The 27898-nt window shown below is 43.2% G+C and overlaps 2 protein-coding genes and 2 pseudogenes across 160 annotated transcripts in view, besides 2 other annotated features; 2 read left to right on the forward strand and 2 right to left on the reverse strand.

Annotated features, from left to right (window-relative positions):
* Positions 1052-1351: a silencer, noted in NCBI's record as "silent region_14448". NCBI's record gives its function as "represses an Ori minimal core promoter by ATAC-STARR-seq in GM12878 lymphoblastoid cells {active_cell/tissue: GM12878}" and the evidence as "EXISTENCE:reporter gene assay evidence [ECO:0000049][PMID:35858748]".
* Positions 1366-6651, forward strand: UQCC5 (ubiquinol-cytochrome c reductase complex assembly factor 5). The gene is made up of 2 exons (NM_001124767.2): positions 1366-1667; positions 5185-6651. The coding sequence occupies exons 1-2, from the start codon at positions 1517-1519 to the stop codon at positions 5244-5246; spliced, it is 213 nt and encodes a 70-aa protein (NP_001118239.1). The 5' UTR covers positions 1366-1516; the 3' UTR covers positions 5247-6651.
* Positions 1685-2218: an enhancer, noted in NCBI's record as "H3K27ac hESC enhancer chr3:52570940-52571473 (GRCh37/hg19 assembly coordinates)". NCBI's record gives its function as "activates a minimal SCP1, AML or CMV promoter by ChIP-STARR-seq in naive H9 embryonic stem cells {active_cell/tissue: H9 hESC(naive)}" and the evidence as "EXISTENCE:reporter gene assay evidence [ECO:0000049][PMID:30033119]".
* PBRM1 (polybromo 1) overlaps positions 10128-27898 on the reverse strand; it is a 140547-nt gene continuing 122776 nt past the window's right edge. For 53 of the 159 annotated variants that reach the window (NM_001405581.1, NM_001394868.1, NM_001405570.1 and 50 more), the window contains 6 exons: positions 26528-26729; positions 23010-23174; positions 19485-19640; positions 15508-15578; positions 15182-15398; positions 10128-12996 (listed from right to left, as the gene is read on the reverse strand). In NM_001405581.1, the coding sequence (NP_001392510.1) occupies positions 12824-12996; positions 15182-15398; positions 15508-15578; positions 19485-19640; positions 23010-23174; positions 26528-26729 (984 nt within the window). In that variant the 3' untranslated portion in view covers positions 10128-12823. Of the gene's footprint in view, positions 12997-15051; positions 15399-15507; positions 15579-16970; positions 17103-19484; positions 19641-22412; positions 23175-26151; positions 26730-27898 lie in introns of those variants that run through there. The other 106 variants (NM_001405585.1, NM_001405556.1, NM_001394874.1 and 103 more) reach the window with 8 other exon arrangements.
* RNU6-856P (RNA, U6 small nuclear 856, pseudogene) lies at positions 16607-16704 on the reverse strand (annotated as a pseudogene).
* RNU6ATAC16P (RNA, U6atac small nuclear 16, pseudogene) lies at positions 25331-25468 on the forward strand (annotated as a pseudogene).

Consider the following 27898-nt stretch of genomic DNA (forward strand, 5'->3'; position numbering starts at 1 on the left):
TGGTTCTAAGCTTTCATTTACCTTCCTTAGATTGTCTAATAGTTGTCTCCTTTCTCAAAGCTGTTCCTGCAGTTTTTACTTTAGTCCTAGGTAATGGGGTGACAGCCCCTTTCAGTTATCTTCAGCAAGCACAGCAGCATGAGAAGACGCAATTACAAGTGAAGTCTCTTAAGTCAGAGCCCTGCTTCTACCTGGCATAGTCTCTTAAACTGTCAGTTAAGAGACTACATATAAACAATACACGTTCAGACTCGGCGCGGTGGCTCACGCCTGTAATCACAGCACTTTGGGAGGCCAAGGCAGGAGGATCTCTTGAGCCCAGGAGTTTGAGACTAGCCTGGCCAATATAGTGGGACCCCCATCTCTACAAAAAATTAAAAAATTAGCCGGGCGTGGTGGTGCACGCCTGTAGTGGTGGGAGGATGGCTTGAGCCGGGGAGGAGGGGGTTGCAGTGAGCCGAGATTGCGCCACTGCACTTCAGCCTGGATGACAGAGCGAGGTCCTGTCTCAAGAAACAAACAAAAACCATGTTTGGGAATACATGTGAAGAGCGAGGGCTCTGCCAATCATTATCATCATAATGAATATTCTAACTAATATTAATCAGTTACTATGCTCCAGGGTTGTGTTCAGTGCATCATTCCTATTACCGCACTAAATTATCACAGCGTCAGAACAAGGCCTCCGTTTTACGGCTTAGGGAATTGAGGCACAGATGGGCTAAGGGAGCACCTGTAGAGCAGGGATGTGGTTTGGTAACAGAGTGCATGCTCTTTATACTGCTCTTCTGCGATTATTGTGAATAAAGCGCCTACAAGTGCCTGTGGAACTGTAAGTGCCCCATACAAGATAGCTTTTATTAATTTTAGGGTTCTCACGGGGCGCTTACTTAGATTTTTGCTGTGATAATTGATAAAGTTCAGCTTTCAACACTCCATATCAAATTCTGTTACTTTAGAAGTCTAGGCACCAATCACGTCTCCGAAATAAACGCAAGGCATTGCATAATTGCATTTTGGAATGTGGTGCTGTACATAGTCCATCAGAGAGGGTCATCACTTCTATCTGGGTATTAGGAATAAAAATGGCGGTGGCAGAGTAGGGGGCGCGGCTGCCAACTGCGAGCTCAGACCTGCACTGGGGAGGCAGGGGGCGGGGCCGGGCCGGCGCCACGTGGGCTGTCCTTCCCTTTTGGGCCGTCCCACCTCCAGAGCTGAGGCGCCTGCGCCAGCTCCTTCGAGGCCCTGCTCGGCTTCAGGGAGCACGCGCGCCCTGCCGTGCTCTGATTGGCGGAGCTGCACGCCCCCGCTGCAGTCTGATTGGCGGATCCGCCTCGCTTTAGAAGGTCGGCGCCCAGTTCCGGCACTCGTGCGCCTACCAGACAGTGGCGGAGGACGGCGCTCGCTAGTCTCCCAGGTCGCGGTACACGGCGAGAACGGGCGGGGCGGTCTCGGCTGCGTCCGGGCGATCCAGTGCTTAGTTCCGTCATATCCCTCTCCACGACCTCGGTCGAGCATGTTCACCAGGGCCCAGGTGAGACGGATTCTGCAGCGGGTGCCCGGGAAGCAGCGATTTGGCATCTACCGGTTCCTGCCCTTCTTTTTTGTCCTGGGAGGAACGATGGAGTGGATCATGATTAAAGTGCGCGTGGGCCAGGAGACCTTCTGTAAGTGAGGGGGTAGCAGTCTCTGTTTCCTTTCAGGAAGGCACGAGGCGGTAGGGATCCGTTTTTCTGGGGAGTATTCTCAGATTGCAGACCGCGCATTCCACTCAGAGCGCTGGGCGAGTGCAGTTCCATTCGCTTGGCAGTCAGGGCGGCCTGGCTCTCCTGTAGGCCGGGCACATTGGCGTCCAGCCTTGTGACCTTCCCTGCACTTACAGGCGAGATCACGTGCTTCTTCCAGCCCTCTCATGCCTGCCCTTCACCCCTGCCGGTGACATCGTTTGGGCTTAAGGAACAGACTTGCTCACAACAATCGTAGAAGGGGGTGGATATGAGGGGTCAGGGAAACTCCTGCTAACTAGCCATTTCTCTTTGGATTCTTCTGTCCAAACTCTGGAGGGAGCTGATCTGCCTGGCTTTGCTAATTACCACTACCTTTACAGGACAGTCATTGGCACCAGGTCTTTGGTCTGGGTCCAGATGATCAGCACTGTAAAGATAGTGGTAACGCCTGGCACTGCATTACTGAGCATTAACTCTGGACAGGCCAGTTCCTTTCAGGAGGACTTCCCCAACCCCTCGGCCCTTTCTGCTTTGCCCCTCTCCTGAAACGCTATCACTTGTGACTTGCCAACCCACATTTTAAAGAATTGTTACATTAGTGATTCCTAAAGATCCTTAGTCCTTCTGTTCATCCATTCATTGATACTTAATGAGCATTCTTGAGGGGCTATAATGAACAAGGCAGAGGTGTCCCTTACCCCAGAAGAGCTCTAATGGGAAAGAAGATGATAAAGACAATTAGCATACAAAGTGATCAGTGCTGTGAGAAGGAAGTGGGAGGAACATAGGACTCTCGGGTGGGCGCCTCAACTGGACTAGATGGTGCAGGGAAGGCTTCCGGAAGCAGCTACCAAGTAAAGTAGGACCTGAAGACTGAGTAGGTGTCAGTCAGATGAGGGGAAGGTGTGTGGAATTGAAAGCATCTCCATGGCAGTGGTAGGAGCACTTGTGTGAGAGTATGCTGTGTGTTTGAGGGATTGAAGCAGATCAACAAAGTGGGGATGGCTAGAAGGGTGCCTGGGCAGGGTGGCAAAGGGACTGGAGAACCAAGAATGGATCCCAAGGATTGAGTCATTTTAGGGAGAGGCTTTAACATGTGGAGAATGGCTCCTTGTGGACAGATTGGTAGGAACAGTTACGCTGTATGGCTGTCCAGAGTTGAGACAGTGGCCTGGTCTAGGTTGGGGCAGAAAGGATACCAAGAAGGGATGGAAGTAAAAGACAGCCCAGAGGTAGTACTGACAGGGCATGGTGATTAAGTGGACTCAGGAGATGAGGAGTGGAGGCTTCTGGTGGGACACCTGGGGCAGGGGGTAGTGCATTTCCTGAAGGTGCCGAACACAGGCAGGGCCATCCTGGGCACCATCTGGGACGTGACGAGGTAGATATGGTTATACAGAGCTGAAGCTCAGGAGGCAAATCTGGGCCAGAAATTGGGATTTGTGAACCATTCAGAAGCAAATTATGATGGAAGTCAAATCCCAACATTTTAATTTAATTTATTTATTTTTTGAGACTGAGTTTCGCTCTTGTTGCCCAGGCTGGAGTGCAGTGGTGCGATCTTGGCTCACCGCAACCTCTGCCTCCCAAGTTCAAGTGATTCTCCTGCCTCAGCCTCTGGAGTAGCTGGGATTACAGGCATGCACCACCACGCCCGGCTAATTTTGTATTTTTAGTAGACATGGGGTGTCTCCATGTTGGTCAGGCTGGTCTAGAACTCCTGACCTCAGGTGATCTGCCCACCTTGGCCTCCCAAAGTGCTGGGATTACAGGCGTGAGCCACTGCGCCTGGCCCAAATCCCAACATTTTAAGGGTAACTGAGAATGGCCAGAAAGGCAAGGAGGGAAACCAGGAGGATTTGTTATCACAGAAGACAGGAGGTTAAATACATCTGGCTCTGTGAAGGGGAGGTAACCCCCCTTCCTCTAGGAGAGACTGCAGGATATGCAAATAATGATCTAGAAGGAGAGGGTGGAGAGAGGCTGGAGATACTGGACCCTTGAGAGGGTGGGACCAGAGCTGGGTGACAGGAGTAAGCCCTTGGAAGTTAGCTGGAAGAGTTCCTTATGATGACTTTCCTCTGTGAAGGAAGAGAGGAAATGGCCATTTGGGGGTGGGTGAAAAAGAGTCAGGATGATGGCTGAGGAAACAGGATTGTCAGACACCTCAGTGGACCCAGTTAGAGGCATCAGTTGGCCCCTCAGGACACAGCAAGCAGGGTGAAGCATGGGGAAGGGAGGAAGTTGGATTAATCTGTGGTTGGGGTTTTGAGGGTGTGTCAGGAAGTTAAGATATTGACAAGAGTATGAAGGAATTTTAGCTGATTTGCCAGGAGAGAGAACAAGAAGCGGCTGAGCGGGTAAGACGGGGCCAAGGACCTGGGGAAGAAACGTGAGGTCCAAGGACAGGAGGGCTGGAAAGGTAACGGGGGTTGTGGTATGAACAGAAATCCTTCAGAGGAGCCCTGCAAGTGACTGGAAGATGTTGAAGGTGAAGGGTACTGGAGCTTCATCCCCATGGGTAATGGTGGTATCTGGGGAGAAGGCACAGGACAGGGTCAAGGAACCTGAGCCAGAGGCCAGCACTTTTGGTGACTGAAGGGGCATGATGGAGAGCAGGTGCCAAAGAAAGATGGTGGCAGACAAATGGCATGAGCCATGAAGGAAGAAGATTTTTTTTTTTTTTTTTTGAGACAGAGTCTTGGTCTGTCACCCAGGCTGGAGTGTGGTGGCACGATCTTGGCTCACTGCAGCCTCTGCCTCCTGGGTTCAAGCGACTCTCCTGCCTAAGCCTCCTGAGTAGCTGGGACTACAGGTGCCTGCCACCACACCCGGTTAATTTTTGTATTTTTAGTAGTGACGGGGTTTCACCATACTGGCCAGGCTGGTCTCAAACTCCTGACCTTGTGATCCGCCTGCCTCGGCCTCCCAAAGTGCTGGGATTACAGGCGTGAGCCACTGTGCCCGGCCTGGAAAGAAGATTCTTTACATGAAGGTGGCGAGTCAAAGGTCTGGCAAAGCAGCAGCTGGAACAAGGAAACTGATCTCCTCTCCCCACCTGAAGGTTTCTGGATATGGGAGAGGGAGCATCAGAGAGCCAAGAGGCAAGAAGTGCCTTTGAGGAGCCAGGTTTTAGTTAAGAAGGATGACTTCAGAGCACAGAATAGAAATTATGGGGGAGAAGGAAGTGAGGGACATCTTAAAACACTAAGAGATGTGCTAAGACATGATTCTATCTTTCAAGACACTGACTTTTACCCTATTTAAGTCTAGAACTCCATTATCATAGTCCTCATCTAACTCAAGTTTTGTTTTAAGTTTATTTTGGCATTGAGTTAAATATTAATGCCAAGATTCAGAAGTAGGTGACAGACCTAGACTATTGGTTAAATTATTCAGATTGTTTTAATTTTAAATATGTTTCTTAAACATCTGAGCAACTTTTTGTTTGATACAGATGATGTCTACCGTAGAAAAGCCTCAGAAAGACAGTATCAGAGAAGGCTGGAAGATGAATGAGACTGAACTTCAGCAGTCAATAAAGTCAATATGAATTTTTACTATTGGTTTCAGTGCCTTTTAAAATATACTTTTCAGATCTCTTGTTCTGACACAGCTTGTCCTTTATCAGCTGCACAATATTCCAATAACTGTTTTTGCAAAGAATTTTTATAGTTCTGTCTCTGCTTGAGTACTTCCCAAGTCACTGCTGGACAGCACTTGTGGGAAAATTATTTCCTCCTAAAACACTCACTCGATGAATCTAGTCCATGAAATATTTCTTAAACAATTCAAGGATCAATCAGGATGCTTTTCAGTGAAGCCCGAATTGTTTTCGGCAATCTTTGTTTTTAGGCAACTAATTATAACCTTATTTACTTTTTTGCAGAATTCAAATTAAATTATGGACACATTCTCTATTGCCAGATCATTTAAACCAGGATAATTATGCAGGTTGTATTTCTGCCAGCTACTAGACTATAAACTTTTTGCTAGGGTGGTGGAAATTCTTGATTGACTACGCATTTCTCATGCTAGTGTTCTTGTGAACAGAAATATGCTCCTCCCTTGCTTGGCTCCCCTAAACTGCAAGGGCTGGATCTTCATGAGGACTGTGGGCAACAGGTTTCACACTACTCTAGGATGAAGATGTTGCTGTTCGATTCAGCTGCTAGAAACAGTTGCTCCTTCCATGAGAAAGTGAACCTACACAGTATAAAGCATCCCAGACTTGAGCTAAATCAGAGGCTCAGTCTATTGAGTGATTTGGCAATCTGACCCAGTGTAAGTTTGGATCAGCCTGGTAGAAAAAGCAGATACCTTTCCATGCTTGCATAGCCACATCTAACATCGTTTCAAGCAAAAAAAAATCTACATACTAAAGACTAAGTTTCAGAATAGTTTCTAACTATTGCATGAGAATAAAGCTGATGCTTAAGGCCATAGGGTATCCTCAAGTTAATGATCTCTGCCACAAACATGTCTCCTAATTTTTTCTAGATTTTTCTTCTAATTTTAGTCCACTTATCTTAGAACCAATTCAGTAAAGAACCATTAACTAACTACTCCCATCTCCTTAAAGCACTACCTACACTACAGTGCAGCAAGCCCAGAGTCACAGCTGGGAGATGGCTTGAATGTGAAAGGCCAGTAATGACCTCTGCCATCAGGGAGAGGACGGTGGTTCATCGTATTCTCATGCCCAGTTGTGTCATCTAGGATTCCTGGTAAACCTAACCTGATAAACCATTTTTAGTGACTTGACTGCTGTATAAAAACTATAGTATGATTCTCAATTATATGGCCATACTCCATGTTTGCCCTAACCCACCTTGTTTTAGGAGTTTAGTATTTGATACATATAGAAAATACGTCATACCTTTTACAAAGAATAATAGTAAACACTAATAAAACCATTGGCTAACTTTTGTGTCTGCTGTGGGTTCATTCCCTGGCCCATCCCCCTGCTTCCACCCCACAGAGAACCATTAGACTGAATTTTGTGTTGGCCTTCTCTAGAGCTTTCCTCTCCATTTCTTTTTCTTCTTTCCATTAGAATGTTAATTTATTTAAGGACAACAGACTTTGAAAATGATGGCCAGGGTTGGTGGCTCAAGCCTGTAATCCAAGCACTTTGGGAGGCTCAGGCAGGAGGATTGCTTGAGGCAAGGAGTTCAAGGCCAGCCTGGGCAACATACACTCCGTCTCTATTAAAAGAAAAAAGAAGGCTGGGTGCAGTGGCTCACACCTGTACTTTCAGCACTTTGGGTGGCCGAGGCAGGTGGATCACCTGAAGTCAGGAGTTCGAGACCAGCCTGACCAACACGGAAAAAGCCCGTCTCTACTAAAAATATAAAATTAGCTGGGTGTATGGCTGGGCATGGTGGCTTACGCCTGTAATCCCAGCACTTTGGGAGGCTGAGGTGGGCAAATCACGAGGTCAGGAGATCGAGACTATCCTGGCTAATACGATGAAACCCCGTCTCTACTAAAAATACAAAAAATTAGCCAGGCGTGGTGGCGGGCACCTGTGGTCCCAGCTACTCGGGAGGCTGAGGCAGGAGAATGGCGTGAACCCGGGAGGCAGAGCTTGCAGAGAGCCGAGATCGCGCCACTGCACGCCAGCCTGGGCGACAAAGCGAGACTCCGTCTCAAAAAAAAAAAAAAAAAAAAAAAAATTAGCCGGGTGTGGTGGCAGGCACCTATAATCCCAGCTACTCAGGAGGCTGAAGCAGGAGAATCGCTTGAACCTGGGAGGCGGAGGTTGCGGTGAGCCGAGATCGCGCCATTGCACTCCAGCCTGGGCAACAAGAGTGAAACTCCGTCTCAAAAAAAAAAAAAAAAGATTGGACAACTTCTGACTTTTAGGCAGGTAGACTACCAAAGCAATTATTGTATTCAATGGAAGATAGGTTTTCAGAGCACATTAGTTTGGATGCTGTGAGTGAGAACTCATTTGTTAGGGTGCAAGCTTTTTTTGAGATGAGTTTCACTGTCACCCAGGCTGGAGTGCAGTGGCATGATTATAGTTCACTGCAGCCTTGAACTCTTGGGCTCAAGCGATCCTCCTGCCTCAGCCTCCCAGGTAGCTGGGACTAGCTAGCTACCATGCTTGGCTAATTTTTAAATTTTTTGTAGACACAGGGTCTTGCTGTGTTGACCAGGCTGGTCTCAAAATCCTGGGCTCAAGCAGTGCTCCCACCTCAGCCTCCCAAAGTGTTGGGATTACAGGCATGAGCTACTGTGCCCAGCTAAGGTATATAAGCTTTTAATTTTTCCTCAAAAGTATTTTTAACTCTCCTACTAGGAATGACTCTATCCTACTTATCAGACACTGAACTATTTAAGGGCGCCAGGAGTAGTGGCTCATGTCTATAATCCCAGCACTTTGGGAGGCTGAGGTAGGAGGATTACTTGAGCCCAGGAGTTCAAGACTAGCCTGGGCAACGTGGTGAAACCCTGTCTCTACAAAAAGTACAAAAAATTAGCCAGGCCTGGTGGTGTGCACCTGTAGTCCCAGCTATTTGGGAGGCTGAGGTGGGAGAATCACCTGAGCCAGATCAAGACTGCAGTAAGTATGATCCCAGCACTGCACTCTAACCTGGGCAATGGAGTGAGACCCTGTCTCCAAAAAAAAAAAAAAAAAAAGCCGTGAAAAGAATTGCAGTACCACCAACTGTAAACTACAGGGCATAAATTTTAATAAATTTCAAGAACTATACTTATTGCAGAATGCTGAAAACCTGATTAGCATTTATTACTAGAACTCTACCTCCACTGTGGTGTTGGGGAAAGAATATGGGCTTTGGAGTGTCACTTTATTATCTGAATTTATAGAGAAAGTACCTAATAATAGTACAACAGTATTACAGCCCCCCCCAAAAAAAGAAAGAAAAAAAGTAGTGAATAAATGAGTTATTTTTGTTCATCTAGCAGTTCTATTTTGGAAGTCTTACCTACATCCCTGATGTGATATTTAATCTCCATTTTGTGTGTGTGTTTAAATTTTTCACACTGAATTAACTCTCTTTAAAGAAATATACTCTTAGCTGGGCGCGGTGGCTCACGCCTGTAATCCTAGCACTTTGGGAGGCCGAGGCAGGCGGATCACGACATCAGGAGATCAAGACCATCCTGGCTAACACAGTGAAACCCCATCTCTACTAAAAACACAAAAAATTAGCCGGGCGTGGTGCTGGGCGCCTGTAGTCCCAGCTACTCAGGAGGCTAAGGCAGGAGAATGGCGTGAACGACAACAACAAAAATATATATATATACGCACACACACACTCTTGGACCCTGTTGTTTTCCAAAGTAATTTATCTCCTAGTAAAGCATGTTAGTGCTTAGTCTTCACACGAGTATTAAATCTGGAGTTTCTTGTCTCATTTATGTGCTATCTGCAAGATGTAAATACCATGAAATAGCCAAAACAGGGAAAAGGGACAGTCCATTAATTTGTTTAGTTCTGAACTTTCATTCAGGGACCTAACATACTTCCAGGCTAAAATGGAACAGAGTAGGCTGGGCGCAGTGGCTCACACCTGTAACCTTAGCACTTTGGGAGGCTGAGGCAGGTGGATCACTTGAGGCCAGGAGTTCAAAACCAGCCTAGCCAATATGGAGAAACCCTGTCTCTACTAAAAATTCAAAAATTAGCCAGGCATGGTGGCGCATGCTGCAGTGAGCCAAGGTTGCACCACTGCACTCCAGCCTGGGTGACAGAGTGAGGTTCCGTCTCAAAAGAAAAAAAAAAAAGGAACAGAATAATAGCAATATTTGTTTGCTCAGTGTTCAGATGGGATGTCTAGCTATACATCAATGATTGTTCAAAATATGCTCAGGGGCACAGATGCCGGTACTATCCTAAATTCAGGAGAACAGAACCACAGGGATTTGCAAAGTGATATTAGAGGAAAACAGTTGGTTGCTTTTACCAACACTTTCTATTAAAAGCATGGTCATGTTTTAAGAGTTTATAAAGATGTTAAAGACACCTGGGCCACCTGTTTCTTCTGGCCACAGACAAGCTATTTGAAGTGGGCTATACTGCTTACATGCTTTCCTCACTTTCCGCCCTCAGTAATTCTCCAATTTTAATTTCAACCTGCATTTCTGCCCATGCTGAGGACATGTAGGAATTCCTTGACTGCCAGCCTGAGGCGTGGCGTGGGGCACTTCAGTCTGCAGTCTGACTACATTTGGCTCTGTGTTAATGCAGCCCGAGCCCTGAACCAGAGGTCTGGACACTGACTTTCATCTCCATCTGTGGAGCTTTGTTCTCTTAAATTGGCAGTCACATACAACCTTGTCAGCATGAAATCAGGGCTTGCAGGAGTTAAATCTGCTTGAAACATCTGACACCACTTTAACAGAACAACCAAACCTGGTTAATCCAAATCACTTTGCAAACTCTGTATTTATTTGGATTAAAAAGCTTTAGATGAACAACAAAAAAAAGATACATACATGTTATAAGACTAGTTACCACGTAAACCTCAGATGATATGATACAGAAATTAGAATAAACCAAGTTTTAATCAGGTATGAAAACATTCAAGCTCAAAATCATCAACACCAATTTGGGGATTTTACAGAAATAGGTGCCCCTCTCAATTCTTCCTCATAGGAAGGGGAGAGTGGCTTAAAAAAAAAACAACAACCAAAACAGTTAAAGGCCTTTTAAATCAGTTGGCTGACAAACATACTGTTTTAAACCTACAGGTTCCCCTCAGTCCCCCCGTTTGCAATATAAACAATTCTTCTCCACAGGAACTTACATTTTGAAAACATTTAGGCCATTATACTTTCTAAGCCACATTACTACAGTTCCTAAAACTTATGAAAAAAAGGTGTATAGTTTACTTGTACTTTCTTGAGTCAATTTTTTTTTCTTTTTTGAAGATGGCTGACCTCAAATCTTATATCCTAAATATTAACGATATCCCCCAAGTTAATATACAGAAAAACATGATTCTAAAATAAATACACAGGCTTTTTAAAAAAAACTTAATTAGGGCCTGTCTAGTGATGCCCTGGGCCGGTGCTGCACTGCTTTAGGGAAGCCCCTGGCTGGATCTATGTTTCCTATAGCACCTCTAGGCACTGGGAAGGAGCCTGGAGGAGAGCTCTGGCTTCTAATGACCCACGTGGCCCCCAGTGAAAAATTTTTTTAGAGGCTCCCCAAAGAAGTCTCATCCAGACCTTAAGGGAAATAAAATGAATGCATGAAATAAATAAATAATTTAACCACAACTAAATTTCATGTTCTTTGGTGTAATTCAAGGATGTCTAGAAACAAAATAATCTGATTGCATTATACAGTCCATGATGATTCAATTGCCCAAATAGCCAGGAATTGAAGATTTATCTGACTCACTTTAACAATAAGGTACTGACACACTACTGCAATACATTTTTTTAAATTCAATATTATTTAAAATACTTGATGCAAATTCAAATCCAGTGGTTGACTAAAGGCAATTAAGTTAAAGGGCCTCCCATATTTAAAGTATCTAGATACAAGAGACTTTTTTCCATTCTACACTCTTTTGCCCTCATGATTTAATAAGTACAGTAATTAAACATCTGGGTACTGATTCATAGCAGATTAAAAGGAAAAAAGCATCCTCTGAGATTAACTCTCTCAGATTATAAACAGCAGTGGAAGCTCTACCACAATGGCAATCACCCAGTTACTATAAAGCAGGTTTCAAAAACATGCCGCCAAGTGAAACAATGTTCCTACTGTCTGCCATCCTATGCTGCCTTCAAATGTTTATTGTAGGGTCATATAAGAAAGACAGGGTCACCAAACCCAAGTGTTTGGGATCTGTAATGGTCTTTCTAGTAAGCGTTTTATTAAATTATGATTCCCTTCTCCTGTAATTCAAAAGCACAAGCTAAATTTAAAAAATATTTTAGAAAGTATTAAATTTCTGGTTGAGAATTATAACAACATTGAAACTTAAAAGAAAAAATACATCTGATAATAAGGAAATAAGGAATACTAAAACATACTTGTATATGAAGGCAATCAATCTACTTGTTCACAATTATGCTTCTTATACAGCTCATATCTAGTTCCATACTCTCTTACCCATGTTAGGTTAGGTGTTATGTTTAAAAATAAATCACCTCCATGCATACCTTAATGCTTTCTTCAAGACGAACTTCAATGTTTTTCAATGTAACAGGTTTAAAATTTTAAATCATCTGAAATTTATAGGCATAAATTGTGAATTCATTATAAATAGATCAAAATATCCTTAAACGTACCTGCCTAGATTAAACATACCTCAGGGTTGTGCACGTGTTCTGCAAAAATCACTGACACCATAGTCTAACTCACAGATGTCTAACTCAGCACAATTGAAAAAGTGCTTTTTCCCCTCCTGGTGTCCAGGAGGTACATTAGCTGCAGACAGATGCACAGCACTGATTACATATTTCTGTAGTGAGCCTCTGAGTTAATAGAGCAAATGTGCTGTGTCTATTAAACATCTAAAACCTAAATAACCACCTTTCAAAGAAAGCACTTCATCTGTAAGAAACAGCTTTTGCAGAAAGTGGCTTAAGATATTCAGGCACATGAAACAAACACAAGTATACTCCCCTCTCTAAGATGTAAACTAGGACAAACTTCACATTTCATTATCAATTTAAACTAATCTGTAAACTCTTGTGTGTGTGTGTTTTTTTTCATTTTGTTCTTTTATATATATATATAAAAAAACCCAAAACCAAGAAAACAAAAACCCCAAGCCAAGACAAAAACCTCTAATGGTTTCAGTTCCATGGCAACAAGTAAAAAGATAAAACTCCAAGTCTACATATACAACCAATTATGAAACTGGTTTTAAACGAAGGAAACATATGCAAAAAAATCTTTGTGTATTTGATAAAGTCAACTTAATATAACAAACAAATTGAAATAGCTTATTAAAAGTGTCCGTATATAAAAATGGCCTTGTGATGTACAGTAAAATGCAATAAAAATTATCCTCCTTTGTTCCTTCCCCCCACCCCCAGTAACTAAAATGGCTACTGATCCACAACTCTTTATGCTTCTATATAAAAGAAACGTAATGATGTGATTAAACATTTTCTAGGTTGTATGCTTGGCGAATGTTGAGGGTGTCCCGGAGCATCAAATCTCGAAGGCGCCAGAGGGCATCTGCCATGGTGGTGTGGGCCCCTTTGCTTTTCAGCCAGTGAGAGGGTAGGCGGCTCTCCTGTTCTTTCGACAAATGGACGTCGCGTCTTCGAGCTGAAAATTAAAGTACAGAGAGACAGAAATTAGAATTTTAAGTTGGCAAAATTTCCCTCAGTTCTAAGGTCTGACGAACTTATTAAAACACAAAACATTGAATATTTATTAAATATTATGAATTTTAACTGCAGAATATTTCCAGGCACATTTCTTATATCATTTTACTAGGCACTAAAAGATTTGATCATAAATTTTTTTTTTTTTTTGACATCGAGTCTCGCTCTGTCGCCCTCGCTGGAGTGCAGTGGCGCGATCTCAGCTCACTGCAACCTCTACCTCCTGGGTTCAAGCGATTCTCCTGCCTCAGGCTCCAGAGTAGCTGGGATTACAGGAATCTGCCACCAAGCCTGGCTGATTTTTCTATTTTTAGTAGAGACAGGTTTCACCATGTTGGCCAGGCTGGTCTTGAACTCCTGACCTCAGGTGATCTGCCTACCTTGGCCTCCCAAAGTGCTGGGATTACAGGTGTGAGCCACTGCACCCGGCCTGATCATTATTTTTTTGTAGGCATCCCTGATATTTAATAATTACTTCAATGTTAACAAAAATTCCTAAAAAGGTAAACATGTGAAGAAAGGGAAAATATACCTTCTACTCTAAAGAAATGAAATGAGATGACCAAAGTTGGTTTAGAAATCAAGAACAAGTAGAAACTTCCAAACTTCTCTCCAGAAACTACACAAGTACTTTAGTACATACTGAAAATACATAAGTATGTTGAACTAAATGAATAGCCTAATCGGTTTCTAATATTTTTTTCCTTTTGTTAAACTGAGGTAAAATAGTTTTTTTTTTTTTTTTAGACAGAGTCTTATTCTGTCACCCAGGCTGGAGTGCAGTGGTGCGATCTTGGCTCACTGCAACCTCCACCTCCGGGTTCAAATGATTCTCGTGCCTCAGCCTCCCAAGTAGCTGGGATTACAGACACCAGACACCACGCCCAGCTAATTTTTGTATTTTTAGTAGAGATGGGATTTCACCATGTTGGCCAGGATGGTCTTGATCTCCTGACCTCAAGTGATCTGCCCGCTTCAGCCTCCCAAAGTGCTGGGATTACAGGCGTGAGCCACCGCTCCTGGCCCTCATCTGGCTAATTTTTAATTTTTTTGTAGAGACGGGGTTTTGCCATGTTGTCCAGGCTGGTCTCAAACTCCTGAACTCAATCGATCTGTCCACTTCAGCCTCCCAAAGTGGGAGCCACCGTGCCTGGCCAATAATTTTTAATTTACCCAATGCATCTATACTAATGTCCAAATGCCTGAAAAACAAAACAAAACAAAACAAAACAACAAACAAAAAACAATGTACTTAAAAAGATGGCAGTGATGTTTATGAGAAAACTAGGCTTTGAAATTTGGCAAAAAAAACCACAACAACACTTTTAGGCAGGGCGCTGTGACTCATGCCTATAATCCCAGCTCTTTGGGAGGCTGAGGTGAATAGATCACCTGAGGTCAGGAGTTCGAGACCAGCCTGGCCAAAACGGCGAAACCCCATCTCTACTAAAGATAAAAAAATTAGCTGGGCGTGGTGCTGAGCACCTGTAATTCCAGCTGCTCAGGAGGCTAAGACACAAGAATCGCTTGAACCTGGGGGTCGGAGGTTGCAGTAAGTCGAGATTGTACCACTGCACTCCAGCCTGGGCGACAGAGTGAGACTGTCTCAAAAAAAAAAAAACAACCCAAAAACCATTTTCAGGCCAGGCACAGTGGCTCACGCCTGTAATCCCAGCACTTTGAGAGGCCGAGGCAGGTGGATCACTTGAGGTCAAGAGTTTGAGACCAGCCTGGCTGATATGGTGAAACCCCATCTCTACTAAAAATATAAACATTAGCCAGGTGTGGTGGCATGTGCCTGTAATCCCAGCTACTGGGGAGGCTGAGGCAGAAGAATCAGTTGAACCTGGAAGGCGGAGACTGCAGTGAGCCAAGATCGCGCCACTGCACTCCAGCCTAGGCAACAGAGTGAGACCCTGTCTCAAAAACAAAACAAAACAAAACAAACCATTTTCAGTGTGTTACGTAAACATGCAAAGAAACTCCAAACCATTTATGAAATATATAATTTATTTTAATTGTATAAGAAAAAGGGGTGTTTATTGTATGATATACTATGCTAACAGCAGTAAGACAGCTTTGAGGAAGCATGTATTTCACAAAGGCTTATTTAGAAGGAATCTTACCTGCCAGTGTCTGATCCCACTTGCTAATGCTGTTGGACTCCGCACTGAGTCCTTCAATGTATTTCAGGTAGGCCTCTGAGTGAAGAAGCCGCTGGGTCTTTGGTGGGGGAGCTACAAACATGGGTGTTGTTGGCTGCTGTATGACAGGGGGTCCAGCTGGATGTGGGCCGGGATATGGAGGTGGTGCCTGCTGCCCTGGAGGCCCCAAAACTCCCACCTGAAAGAGCACAGGACCACATGGTGAGGCAAAAAGAGACTCTGCACATGTTCTGAGAAGGATAACTCGAATTCTGTCAAGTCCTAGAAAATCAAACTGGGAGGCTCACCTGTTGTCCATATGGACTTCCACCTGGTGCTGGAGTCCCTACCATAGGGGCCACTCCTTGGTTCATCACACCTATAATTCAGAATGCAATGGCACAGTTAGAGGCTCTGGGTTGAAATGACTGAAAAACTACTGTCTGATAAGAAATGATGCCATTCATAATTCAAACCTATGTACCTCTGCCCTTGAATCTTTGTGGCTAGGAATCTTAAGCACCCCAATAGGATTTGAATAGAAAGTTGTTTTGTTTCTAGGTACTTAAAGTATAATACTAGAACAATCTGTCAGATGTACATCAATTATGGCTTAGAAATGATTTGAACCTTGCATAAAATTCTAGTATTTCTCTAGGTAAGCTATTGTCAGAATATACCTCTACATTCAAGGTGTTTTTCTTCTGACAACACATTCTCCTGCAACTGAAGCCTGTATTTAATTTAAGCAGGAATGGCACTGGAATCAGGCTCAGCAGTAAGCAATGTGCTAGGACAGCAGGGACACAAGGGAAGAGGCTGTGGAAGTGCATAGTTAAATGAGCTTTGTGAAGGCTGAAGGCACAGCCTTGCTATCCCCTCCCAGACCATCAGCAGCTGGTTCTAACTGGAGTCACTAGTGCTGGCAGGGAGAGAACACTTCCATCTGATAGAGTAGCACTCTGAAAAGGAATCATCTGAAGTGAAGTAACCTTGTTGCTATTGCTTTATATGCAAAATGACAAAGGAACAGAGAGACTTCATGGCCCTACTAGATTTGTACTATGTCCCTGATAATAATTTTGTAAGCTTCCCTCAGTGAATGCTCACGAGCAATTGTTGTCTCACAGGCACAGCTGATAATAATGAGATGTCCTAAATTTAGTGTCAGAGGCTCTTTTGATTTCAGGGTGCATATTTGCTATTCTGATAAAATACAGAAATAGGCAAGGGACCCAGTTCATTAAAATCAAATAAACCTAAAACTGTGGTGAACTGTTCTTGAAAACTTAAACAAATCCTGCTGGCTGTGTAGAAGAATCGAGAGGAGGTATAACTTCATAGTGTATAGTCCCTTCGGATTAAAAATCGTAATATTTTGTCCAGGCAGAAGCAGCTCCTCATTCTAAAGTTCAGAACTGTTTCATGAATTTGCATGTCATCCTTGTGCCATGCTCAACTCCATATTGTTCCAATTTTAGTGTATGTGCTGCTGAAGCGAGCACTAAGGTTCAGAATTGTTAAATGCCACTTCCAGGAAGCATAAGAGAGCCTCTTATTTGTTAGAAAATAACAAGTAAAAAAGCTTCTGTTTAAAAAGCAGGGAGTTTTATATTCCAAGTACCCAGAAGTCCACCCGGATCACCAAAGTAGGATCCTGATGATTATTCGTGAATGAATGAAGAGGTTGTGGTGGGTAAGCTGGTGCCCCAGCAATATATTATTAACCTCTGTGCCCATCACCTCCCTGTGCCCTGGGACACTCACCCACCTTAGATTCCAGAACACGGTGTGGCTCCCTAAACTGTGTAAATCATTGCTTTGCAGGGCAGCACAAATCAGCAAACTCTTCTGCTTCCTCTATTGACAAATGCCATACTTGGGCAGCCGGTGAGAATCTGAGCTGAGTCACCAAAAGAGCTCAATGAATCCCCTACTCCTCTAAGCCTGCTCAGACATGTGCATTTGTAGGCACTAAGAGGGGGTCTTCCCTGACTCCTGGCTTCTTTTTTAATTAAATAAAATAGATATGGGGTTTCACCATGTTGCCCACTGGTCTTGAACTGCTGAGCTCAAAGCAATCCTCCCACCTCAGCCTCACAAAGTGCTGGGATTACAGGATTGAGTCACTGTGTCCGGCCCTGTCTCCTCAATTCTAAGCAGGTGTGTTGGGCTTCCCTCCAGTTGAATTTAGGATTTCAGGAAGGTGGAAAGGAAGACAGCTATGTCCCAACACCCACCAAAAGACATCTGCAACCTAGAGGGTACTGGCATTAGACATGGATCCCACTAAGTGCACCTAGAAGGTGTAAACTCCAGCCTGGTCTTATTGGCTCAGTGATACCCTGTATCAAGGTGAGAGGGCAAAAAATTAAGGCCAAGTCTACCTGCCACATGGGAACATTTACCTTATGACTGACTCCTGCTGCAACAGCAATTCACACAGTCCACTGTTTTCATATGAAGCACCTAACCCTACAAACACTTCCTCCTCTGGCAATACCTGGAGCAAATGCTTCTGTGGAATTATGGCCATATTCTAAGCAACTCTCACAAAGAGTGTGGCTGGAGGCTCCAGGCCAGGCCACCAAGTTTGCTCACTCTGCACACTGCTGGGTGCACCCTCCAAAGCATCATTTGGTACCCTGCAAAACCCTATCACTGGTAGGTCCAACACTGGTACAAGCAAATTTAACAAGTTTCCAACCACATTTTACCATTTGGGTTGGGCCCTTAGCTGATGTTGTAGGTAATGGACCAAATGCTTTCCGAGTCTTCCAAAGGTCACATTCCCTCCATCCAGATTACAGCTAAGAGTTCTTTTGCATATGATGGCAATTAATATGGGAACATGTGATTTTCCTTTCATTTAGGTTTTCTTTAAAATAATCTTTCAACTTGCTAATTCACATTTTAAAGTGAAAATGAATGTCGCTATTTCTGGAATCCATTTATATATTTCTATATAAAAGAACTTCTAAGCTTCTGTTGACAGACAAACCAGTATCTACAGCTAGGAGGGTAGGCTAGGCTGTTCTTTAATGTCAGGCTTTTTTTTTTTTTTTTTTGAGACAGGATCTCATTCTGTCGCTCAGGCTGGAGTGCAGTGGTGCGATCACCACTCACTGCAGCCTCAGTCTCCCCAGGCTCAGGTAATTCTCCCACCTCAGCCTCCTGAGTAGCTGGGACTACAGGCACATGCCACCACACCTGGCTAATTTTTCCTTTTTTTTTTTTTTTTTTGACACGGAGTCTTGCTGTCGCCCAGGCTGGAGTGTAGTGGTGCAATCTCGGCTCACTGCAACCTCTGCCTCCCAGGTTCAAGTGATTCTTCTGCCTCAGCCTCTCGAGTAGCTGGGACTACAGGTGCCCGCCACCACGCCCAGCTAATTTTTGTATTTTTAGTAAAGACGGTGTTTCACCATATTGGCCAGGCTGGTCTCGAACTCCTGACCTCAAGTGATCCGCCCACCTCGGCCTCCCAAAGTGCTGGGATTACAGGCATGAGCCATCGTGCCCGGCCTAACACCTGGCTAATTTTTATAGAGATGGGGTCTCACCAGGTTGCCCAGGCTGGTCTTGAACTCCTGGGCTCAAGTGATCCACCTTCCTCATTCTCTGAAAGTGCTGGGATTACAGGCATGAGCCATTACACCTGGCATGTCATGCTTCTTAGGGAACTCACATACAGAACACTAATTCAGTGAAAATGCATTCCCTCCCTGCTTTTTGTTCTAAGACAGACTGAGTGAAAGATTTCTGAAGAGTTCTACCTTAGCAGCTCTGCAATCCCCTTAGAAAGGCTGCTTGAGGAGAAGTAGGAGATGGAACAGATACTCTATACCCTGTGAGATAAGAATTGCACCAGAGGGAGAAATGCAACTCAGGGGCAAAAAATGCTTTTACATGTTACTCTGAACTAGCAATTTGGGAAACTTCATTCACTGATAAGAGGACACAGCCTTCTAGGCTGTCTGGCTTTTCAAGGACATGTCAAATTAGTTGAGTGATTATCGATAGAGTATGCCTCTTGTCCCTTGGTTTGCTGAGTCTGGCCTCTGCCATGTGTGCTGTGCTGCTGCCAGCAGCCAGGTGCACAAGGGCACAAGTGCTGGGCCACCTGCTGAATGCACAAGACATGCCCTGCTGCTGACAACCTTTGGATTCTCAGGGAGGGAAGGCCTGGCCACAATGGGCCACGGGTGCCTCCTGGAACAACTGGTTGAAAGCGGAAAAAGAGAATATGAAGATGAGATTAATGAGTGAATGAGGATGAAGTTCTTACCCGGTGGTGGGATGCCCGGGAGGCCAGGCACACCTGGCGGAAGATGGTGGGGTGGAGGCCCCCCAGGGTGAAGTGGCTGCATGCTGCCCATGCTAACAAGGCCATCAACTGGGCCCTGCAAAGGTGGAAGGCCTGGCGGATAGCCACCCATCATGCCTTGAAGGACACAACAAATTTCAGACATGCATCATTAACATGCAACATGAGCTAAGTAATAACAACCAACCCCCACATGCACTACCAATGAATAAAGCACCCTTAGTACTGCATGATATAACAGCAATTAGTGCAATTATTTTGCTGCAATAATGAACAAAATAAAAAGTTACAAATATGAGACCCAACATTTTGGGATGAATTAGTACTTAGTACACTATTATTTGTAGTTATTTTCCCTGGGGTAAATATGCTGCATGTTTTCAGTTAAATAATAGTAAAGAGTTCTAGTAACAGCCTTCCCAAGGAAATAATTATTGCAAGCTGTTCAAACAGAGTGACCAGTTCTGCTGACTGCAATTCTAACTGAATAGTATAAACCCCATCATTCCACTCTGCCCACACTCATATGCCTATCATGGGTACACATGAGGGGAAATAGGAAGGGAGGGAAATGAGCGCATAGTCCTGATCACAAAGCATGGTTCTCCAGCTTTGGGGCAGGAATTGTTCAAGACTTCTACATCTACTCCTCCTTTCTAGCCTTACCACTGCTGGTAAGAATGGATTGTGCTTGGGCTTGAGTTGGGGAACAGCTTCTAAGAACCATCACAGTGAATGATATTTCCTTCTTTAGATCTAAAAATGTGATAAAGATAAAACCTAAACACTCCCAACCAAGCCAACCAAGTCCAGGTCACTCAGGAGCCTACACACAGACTTTACGGAGGAATGGCTGGAGAATTGGGCTCTGCTGATATGAGAAAATGCCAAATGCCATCAGTCTCCAAGCTCAAATGTCCTCATATAAACCTTAACAGGGAGCATTTTAATTTGAGGTACACAATTTCTGTGAACAGAGGCTTTTATTCCTTTATTTTCAAAGTGTACCTACACATGACAAAATATTTTCTACTGGCTAGAGAAGAGTTTCAGCAAACAAGTATTTTTGGCAGAAGGAATAAATGTAAGAAAAAAAATTCAAAATGTCAAGGACTCACCTATCAAAAGACCTTTAAAACCACATGGCATTTTTTTAAAACAAGAAAAACAACTTGACTTTTCTGGGATTTGTAATGATCATGATGAATAAGAACACAAAGCTCCCCCCAAAATGCAGTCACCTTTGGTCACAGCTTCTTGCAAAGGGAGGGTTGAGGGACTGGTGCCAAACCTCATTTTTATAAAATACTCTTTGCAGAGGGACTCTGTCAAATAGTGGAAAACTTCAGATTCTGAGAATTTTACTCTTGGACTTTCCCTGAAGATTTCAAACATATTTATTTATAAAAGTTTAGTCTTTTAAGGCTATGAAATTACTAAAAATTCTGAGGTCGATTCACCCTGCTTCACTAGTCATACCTAAGCTGACTAACTTACAATTACATAAACCGAATGACAAAAATTTGAATAATAATCTCTCTATACATAAGATTATGAGTTTTCATTTTTTTTTAAATGAAGAGTTCAGAAAGTAAAAACTACTTTTGAACAGACACCATCATCTTAATTAAACATGAAGAGATCCAATGCTACCAATCTTTTAACCACACCACCAGTTATAGCATTTAGGGTTAAGTAGGCGGGAAATTTAAGGATGTTAAGAGGCTTTGCTTTCAATTACAAAAGCCCATCTGAACGCAGCCTTCATGGGCTGTGGTTGAGGAAATTATTAAGAACTGAAAGACATGACACTTGTCTTCATTAAACTGTACTTTGGCATTTATTATCCCAGTCACATGTGTTCAAATGAGCTTCAATGCTTGTAAGCAAAGCTGGTCTCAAGACAGCAACAAGGCTAATAAGTAAGACTCAGGCCCTAAGAAACCTGTAAAACCATGAAAAATCACCCTCTTAGCTGCAGGGTTCCCCATGAGGACCAAAGAGTGGTTACTGCAGAGAATGCTTGCTTTTCACTCCCAGGGCCCAGAAGTCTAGCCAGCACACCCTAAATAATGGAGCAGGGGCTTTCTAGAGGGACCACCTTCCTCATCCATAGAGTTCTATAATGTTCTTCCCCAACAGGGAGCTAAAATGCTGCAGCTGCTGTTTTTTTTTTTTTTTTAATTGTTTTTAGCTGTTTGTATTCATTTTGTTAATGTGCCCCTGGGTTTTGAAGTCAAGGGCACAGTGCCACAACGTCACACATCAAATAGAACAAAACACAATGTCAACGAGGGAATTCTAACTTTCAAAGTCCCCATGTTCAAGGCCTGATTTCTAAAAACCTCTGGAACCCCATTAACCAAAATGGGCCATGGAATAGAGCAGGCGATTATGAGATTTGTTAGATCAACATCAGTTACACTGAAAGCACTGAAAGCCATGATTCAGATGTGCTTTGGCGAGTGCAACTGCTGAGTTCAGCGACAGTGCATTTGAGAACTTGCCATCACAAAAGTTAGGAGCGACAATGGAAAAGTTATCCTATGCTACTCTTCCTTAAAAAGCAAAAACGAAACAGCAAAAACAGCATCCCAACAAGCCTGCCTTGAACAACACTATTTTGGACTCCCTGTGAAAGAGGTCAGACTGCTTGCTTAAGAAGAAACACAGGTGGCTTGTACAGACCTCACCAGGACTGGAGAGATCTCAAAGAAGGGGCCCGAGAAGTGGTCTGCAGACTTCTCATTGGAGACATGTCAGACAAAGATATTCAATTCAAGAACAGTCAAATTTGCTATGGCTACCAGAACCAGAGACAACACACACAGACAAACCACATTCATCATTTTCTTTTTCTTTTTTTTTTTCTTAAATATGTGACTGGGATACTAACAGAAAATGCAGTTTAATGTAATTAAATAGAAAAGCATTACAGAGTGGGCACAATGAATTGAATAAGGACTTTGTATTCTATTTAGCAGTCATGCACATTGGTGACCAAGAAAGGATTTACAATTCATTGTCAAAAAATCCTTTTAAACGGTCAGTCTTTTAAGGATGGCTGCAGCAGAACAAGGCAAACTGAATACTGGAATGAGATGGGAAAATCAACACCACCTAAAGACTAGTTTTGTGTTTTCTCTTGGGAGTCCCTCTAGAACAGAATTCAGGGTCTACTTTCATATTTTCTGCTATAGTGCTCTATCAAGAGCAGGCTGGGGTGGAGAACATCACCAGACCATGCCCACAGCCAGGGAAGAGCTGCTCCCTACCAATTACCAGGGTTGGGCCCAGGGCCCATTTCTGGGGCAGAAGGGAGGCATTGCCCATATGGGAAAGGCAATATAGGACAACATGGATGACTTCAAACTTTGAATCTGTCATGAGAAAAGGCAATAGACTGTGGCCTACTCCTTATTGGAGAAAAAAAAAATGAAGGAATTTCTTAAAGTGGAAAAAAATGGTCTTAGCTCCTGTTTTTACCTGCAACAGGTGTCAACTGCTGATTGAGCATCCCCATTGGTGTTGGTGGTGGCACCACCCCCATGAGAGCCCCCACAGGGGTGCCTGCTCGGGGAGAAGCACTCGGCTGCTGTTGCTGTGCTGCTCGCTCTCTCTCCTGCTGCTCAGCAACTTTAGCTGCCCGCTCTGTAAAGGCATTTCAGATTTTCAATTCTGTTTTTAACCCAGGAATTCAAAATACCATCCATTGCATTCAACAGGACTAGTAAAAACACAGGCAACAGTTCTGTCTCAATGGAAGGAACAGTAGATGACTAGTCTCAACACAGGAGGAGTCGGGCCGATTTCACTTGGTAACCTAGAGTCCAGCTTTCCTATCCCATCTTGAGAACTGGTCTGCAAAGATTTCAAGAATGTTAAGACTGCAACACACATTCAGAAAGCACAGGTTTTATGTAAACACGTCACCAGCATAACCACCATGGTTAATCTCACGAGGCACCCTGAAGATGAGAAGCGCTACCATTATTCTAGTATTAATAGCATTACAGATTATTTATAATTTCAATATGAAGCAATTCCATGGCCCATTATAATTTTTGGTACAATTGTTACTTACTATATATATTTCCTGATTCTTTGTACCCAATTTTACTAAGATTTGAGGACTCATCACGAGTGTCATGGAGTTTAGCAGCTGAAGAAAATTAACTCTGTAAGGGAAAAGTAGCTGACTGCCTCCTTCAGAAGGTTTTAGGGAAACAACTAATTTCTACATTCTAATGAAGCAAAGAAGTCATGTTTAATAAACCCCAAAGGAAAAAAATGCATTATACTTCAGGCTACAATCATCAGAAGCAGAGAATTAAATAAACACGTATGTAGCAATGGACAATGTACTGAAAGAACCAGGTTTCCTGAAGCTGAGCAGTTCAATACTGACCATAAACCACCCTAAATCAATGAAAATTCCAGAATCCCTCTTACTTCATTCAAAATGCAAAAAGAGCATTTGCTGTGGCAGTTCTGGGCCGTAGAATACATCCTGCTACCTCCCCACTCCCCGGCCCTGAGCTACTCTGCATCTCCAGAGCCGGGAGCTCCAATGATCATGTTTCCAGTCTTTTTGTGAGCTAGCAGACTGAACCCCTACTGAAGAACTCCTGAAATGCTGTATTTCCAAAGCTCCCACCATACAGGGTTTCTTGTCTCACCATTCATAAATAGAAGATCCCCCCACTCATCACATAGGCAAATGGAGGCTGGGAGACAGGCAGTCACTTGTCCAAGGATAGAGAGAACCAGCAACCCTATGGCCCTAACTCCTGATATCACACTCCAACTGCCACACATAAACCCTTTAACATGGAACTCAACACCACTGATTTCAGGAGGGGGAAAATAGCTCGAGGTCATATGGCTTTACAGAGAATCAAGAAGCTACAGCTCCAGTCCTCCTTTAAGAATATGAAAGTCAAGCAATCAAAGGCCTCTTGGCTGTGACAGAGTTGCCTGCATAGCCTTATCATCACTAAGACTGTCCTAGTTTACAGACCCTTTGTACAATGAGTATGAGAAACGAAGGCCATTTGAACAAACTATTTACTTGAGCTAGCAGTAAAAAAAAAAAAAAAAATCGACCTAGGGTTCCACTTCAAATTCTAGTATTTTCATTATACAAGTGACACAGTAAAGTGGGAAAGCAAAAAAATGAAATGGAAAAAAAAAAATAAGGCCTGTGGATTGAATATTGGACTGGCTACCCAAACTCTAAACTTTGGGCTTTGAATTCAATGAGAGAAAACATCAAAAGTTCAGATTTTATGTCTCAGGTAGATGCTGCTGAGTCATATAACTCCCCCCTCACTAGGTTCTCACTCACTTTCAGACTCCCCTTTGAATTTGGAAGGATGTTCCAGACGCCATCACCTCTCCCTCTCTTCATTCCTACTCCAGTGTTTTTACCTTCACAGTGTCTTCAGGTATCTCTCTCCTGCTCACACTCTAAATAACCAGCCATCCAGCACTGGCTCCATTTGCCTTGCTGCTGCTGCTGTGCTGCTCGCTCAGCAATATTCATGTGAGCTTGATTTTCAACACTCCTCCAGCTCAGTGGTGTAGTAGGTCTTAACTTTCAATAAGGTCAGAAATATCAAAGCTCCACAAAGTTCTAGGTTCTTATGGAACTGACTAGGGTTTTCCAAAGAATATTCTGCAAAATGTTAGTTCTTTAGGGTATTCATAGGTACTACATAAATACCTGGTCAAATTTCAGAAAATGCCAGATAATATAAAACAGCTTATTTACTGGTGGTCTTAAAGCCTTTAATATGGGAATATGCATGCTGTATGAAAGGAGAAAAGGTTAGCACTCCCCTTGATAAGGACAGAGGAGGCCCTTGGGCCTGACAACACACATACGGGAATATGCACCATAAGTTTCCAAGAGAGAGAGTTTGGAATGCTTCTCAAACTGGTTTTGCCACAAAATGTTTTTTGGCTAAACATCTTGCAGGATTAGGATTCTTTGCAGAAGATCCTTGGGGAAGCCTGTCAGATAATTTCATAGTAATCAAATAATTATAATAAATGACCTTTTTTTTTTTAAAGAAGTTTCTTTGGAGACTTCAAAAATTTTAATAAAAGGGGCAGCCTAAATAATTAATGTTTGCCAGAAAATAATAGAACTGTACCCACCTAAGAAGAGTAGTGGTTGACCATTGTAGAGAGGAGCTCTAAACTGGCAAAATGAACCAATATATAAAATTCCAGATGGAAAAAATATAGCTCAAAGGGCAACAGTACTGCCTAATCTAATGCTTACTACTAATTTCTTTACTAAGTCCATGTCTGATATTTAAAAAAAACCCACAAAAACAAAAACCCAACAACAAAAAACAAAAAATCTCAAGTATTTGTCTCTAAATGGCTAAGAACCACCAAATTCTTGAATGACAGCTCACTGCCCAAAGTGATTTAATTAGAATAAAAGGAAAATAAAGGCAGTTGAGCTTTATAAAAAAGACCCAAATACCTTAGAAGTAGCTATGAATACAGACACAGTATAGGCCAGGACTGACCTAGGAAACCAAGCACTTTAGCAAAGACTCAGCCTGAAGTTTAAATATATGGCTTACCAAGAGCTGTAACACAAGATCACTGATTTTAAGAGGCCCTTTTCAGACGAATTTTAATTAAAATTATATTTAACATCATTGTACAATAATTCCCTAGCTCAACATGTGTGCTTACAGGGCTCAATGAAAGAAAAAAATCATGCAATTTTTAGTAGCAAAATATTTTGGAGAAATTTGCAGGGGAAAATACAACACCAGGATCAGAGGCCAAGTCAGGGGCAGTGCTCTGCTCAGTCAGGACAAGGCTAGCATCTAAAATACTGGTTGGGTGCCATTTGGAACAGTCCCCAAAATAAAAGTTCATGTGCAAGTGGTAAGAACAAGAGTAAAACCTGTCTGTGCGCGTGCATTCCTGAAACACCCCCTTGCTTCGAAAGACAGTTGTGCCTAGGCTCTATTTACCTTCATATTCTGCTTTCTTGGCTGTCTCAAGATTTCTCCATTCTGTCCCCACCAGGCGGCTGAGCTCCCCGAAAGAGTAGTCTGGGTGTTGGGCCTTAATCACAGCCCTCATCTCACTGCTGAACAGGATGTAGCCACTCATGTTGATTTTCCGTTTGGAGCCTTCCTTCTTTGCACTGCCTTTGGCAGACTTTGGGGTAGACTGTAAGACAGAAAGGTCTTATGGTGCATCAAAACATTACATTTGGTTAACTGCTCAAAATTTCAGAAGCCAGCCGGGCGCGGTGGCTCACACCTGTAATCCCAGCACTTTGGGGGGCCGAGACAGGTGGATCACAAGGTCAGGAGATTGAGACCATCCTGGCTGACACAGTGAAACCCCGTTTCTACTAAAAAAAAAAATACAAAAAATTAGCCAGGCGTGGTGGCGGGCGCCTGTAGTCCCAGCTACTCAGGAGGCTGAGGCAGGAGAATGGCGTGAACCCGGGAGACGGAGCTTGCATTAAGCCAAGACGGCGCCACTGCACTCCAGCCTGGGCGACAGAGCAAGACTCTGTCTCAAAAAAAAAAAAAAAAAATTTTTCAGAAGCCAGGAACACGTGATTCACTAGTTACTGCTTTATTGACACGTTTGGTTTATAGCTGGCTATTTTCTTGGTCAAAACACACCTCTTCCTTATCTATTACAAGTAAAAAAGAAATGAAAGTTTCACTGAATTCCATGGGTGCAATCTGTAATGGTGACCTCACAATTAAGTCTTGAGAAAATTCTTTTTTTTTTTTTTTTTTTTTAAATGATACAGGGTCTTGTTCTGTCACCAGGCTGGAGTACAGTGGTGCACTCATATCTCACTGCAGCCTTGATCTCCCAGTCTCAAATGATTCTCCTGCCTCAGCCTGCCGAGTAGCTGGGACTACAGGTGTGCATCACCATGCCTAATTTTTAAAATTTTTAGTAGAGATGAGATCTCACTATGTTGCCCAATGTGGTCTTGAACTCCTGAGCTCAAGTGATCCTCCTGCCTTGGCCTCCCAAAGTGCTGGGATTACAGACATAAGCAACCATGCCTGGCCAAGTCTTGTAAAAATTCTGAATGAGAAAAAAATACCAACAATCACCTCAACCAAAAGATGAGGTCCTACATAAGGAGAGATTAAAAAGACACGGGTAATAAAAGCTAAAGACAAACAGGGTGATGTTGCTCCTTACTGCTTTTCTTCAGCACAAGGAAGAGTCTTCTAACTAAGCCCACCATTAAAATAGCTATGAAATTTTAAAGATATTAATTTTAAATTATTAATGGTATTAATATAAATTATTAATGGGATGACATATAATTTTTGTCAATCAAAAATAAATGAATAAATCAT

This window comes from Homo sapiens, chromosome 3 (assembly GCF_000001405.40).
Source record: "Homo sapiens chromosome 3, GRCh38.p14 Primary Assembly".
NCBI classification, from domain to species: Eukaryota; Metazoa; Chordata; class Mammalia; order Primates; family Hominidae; genus Homo; species Homo sapiens.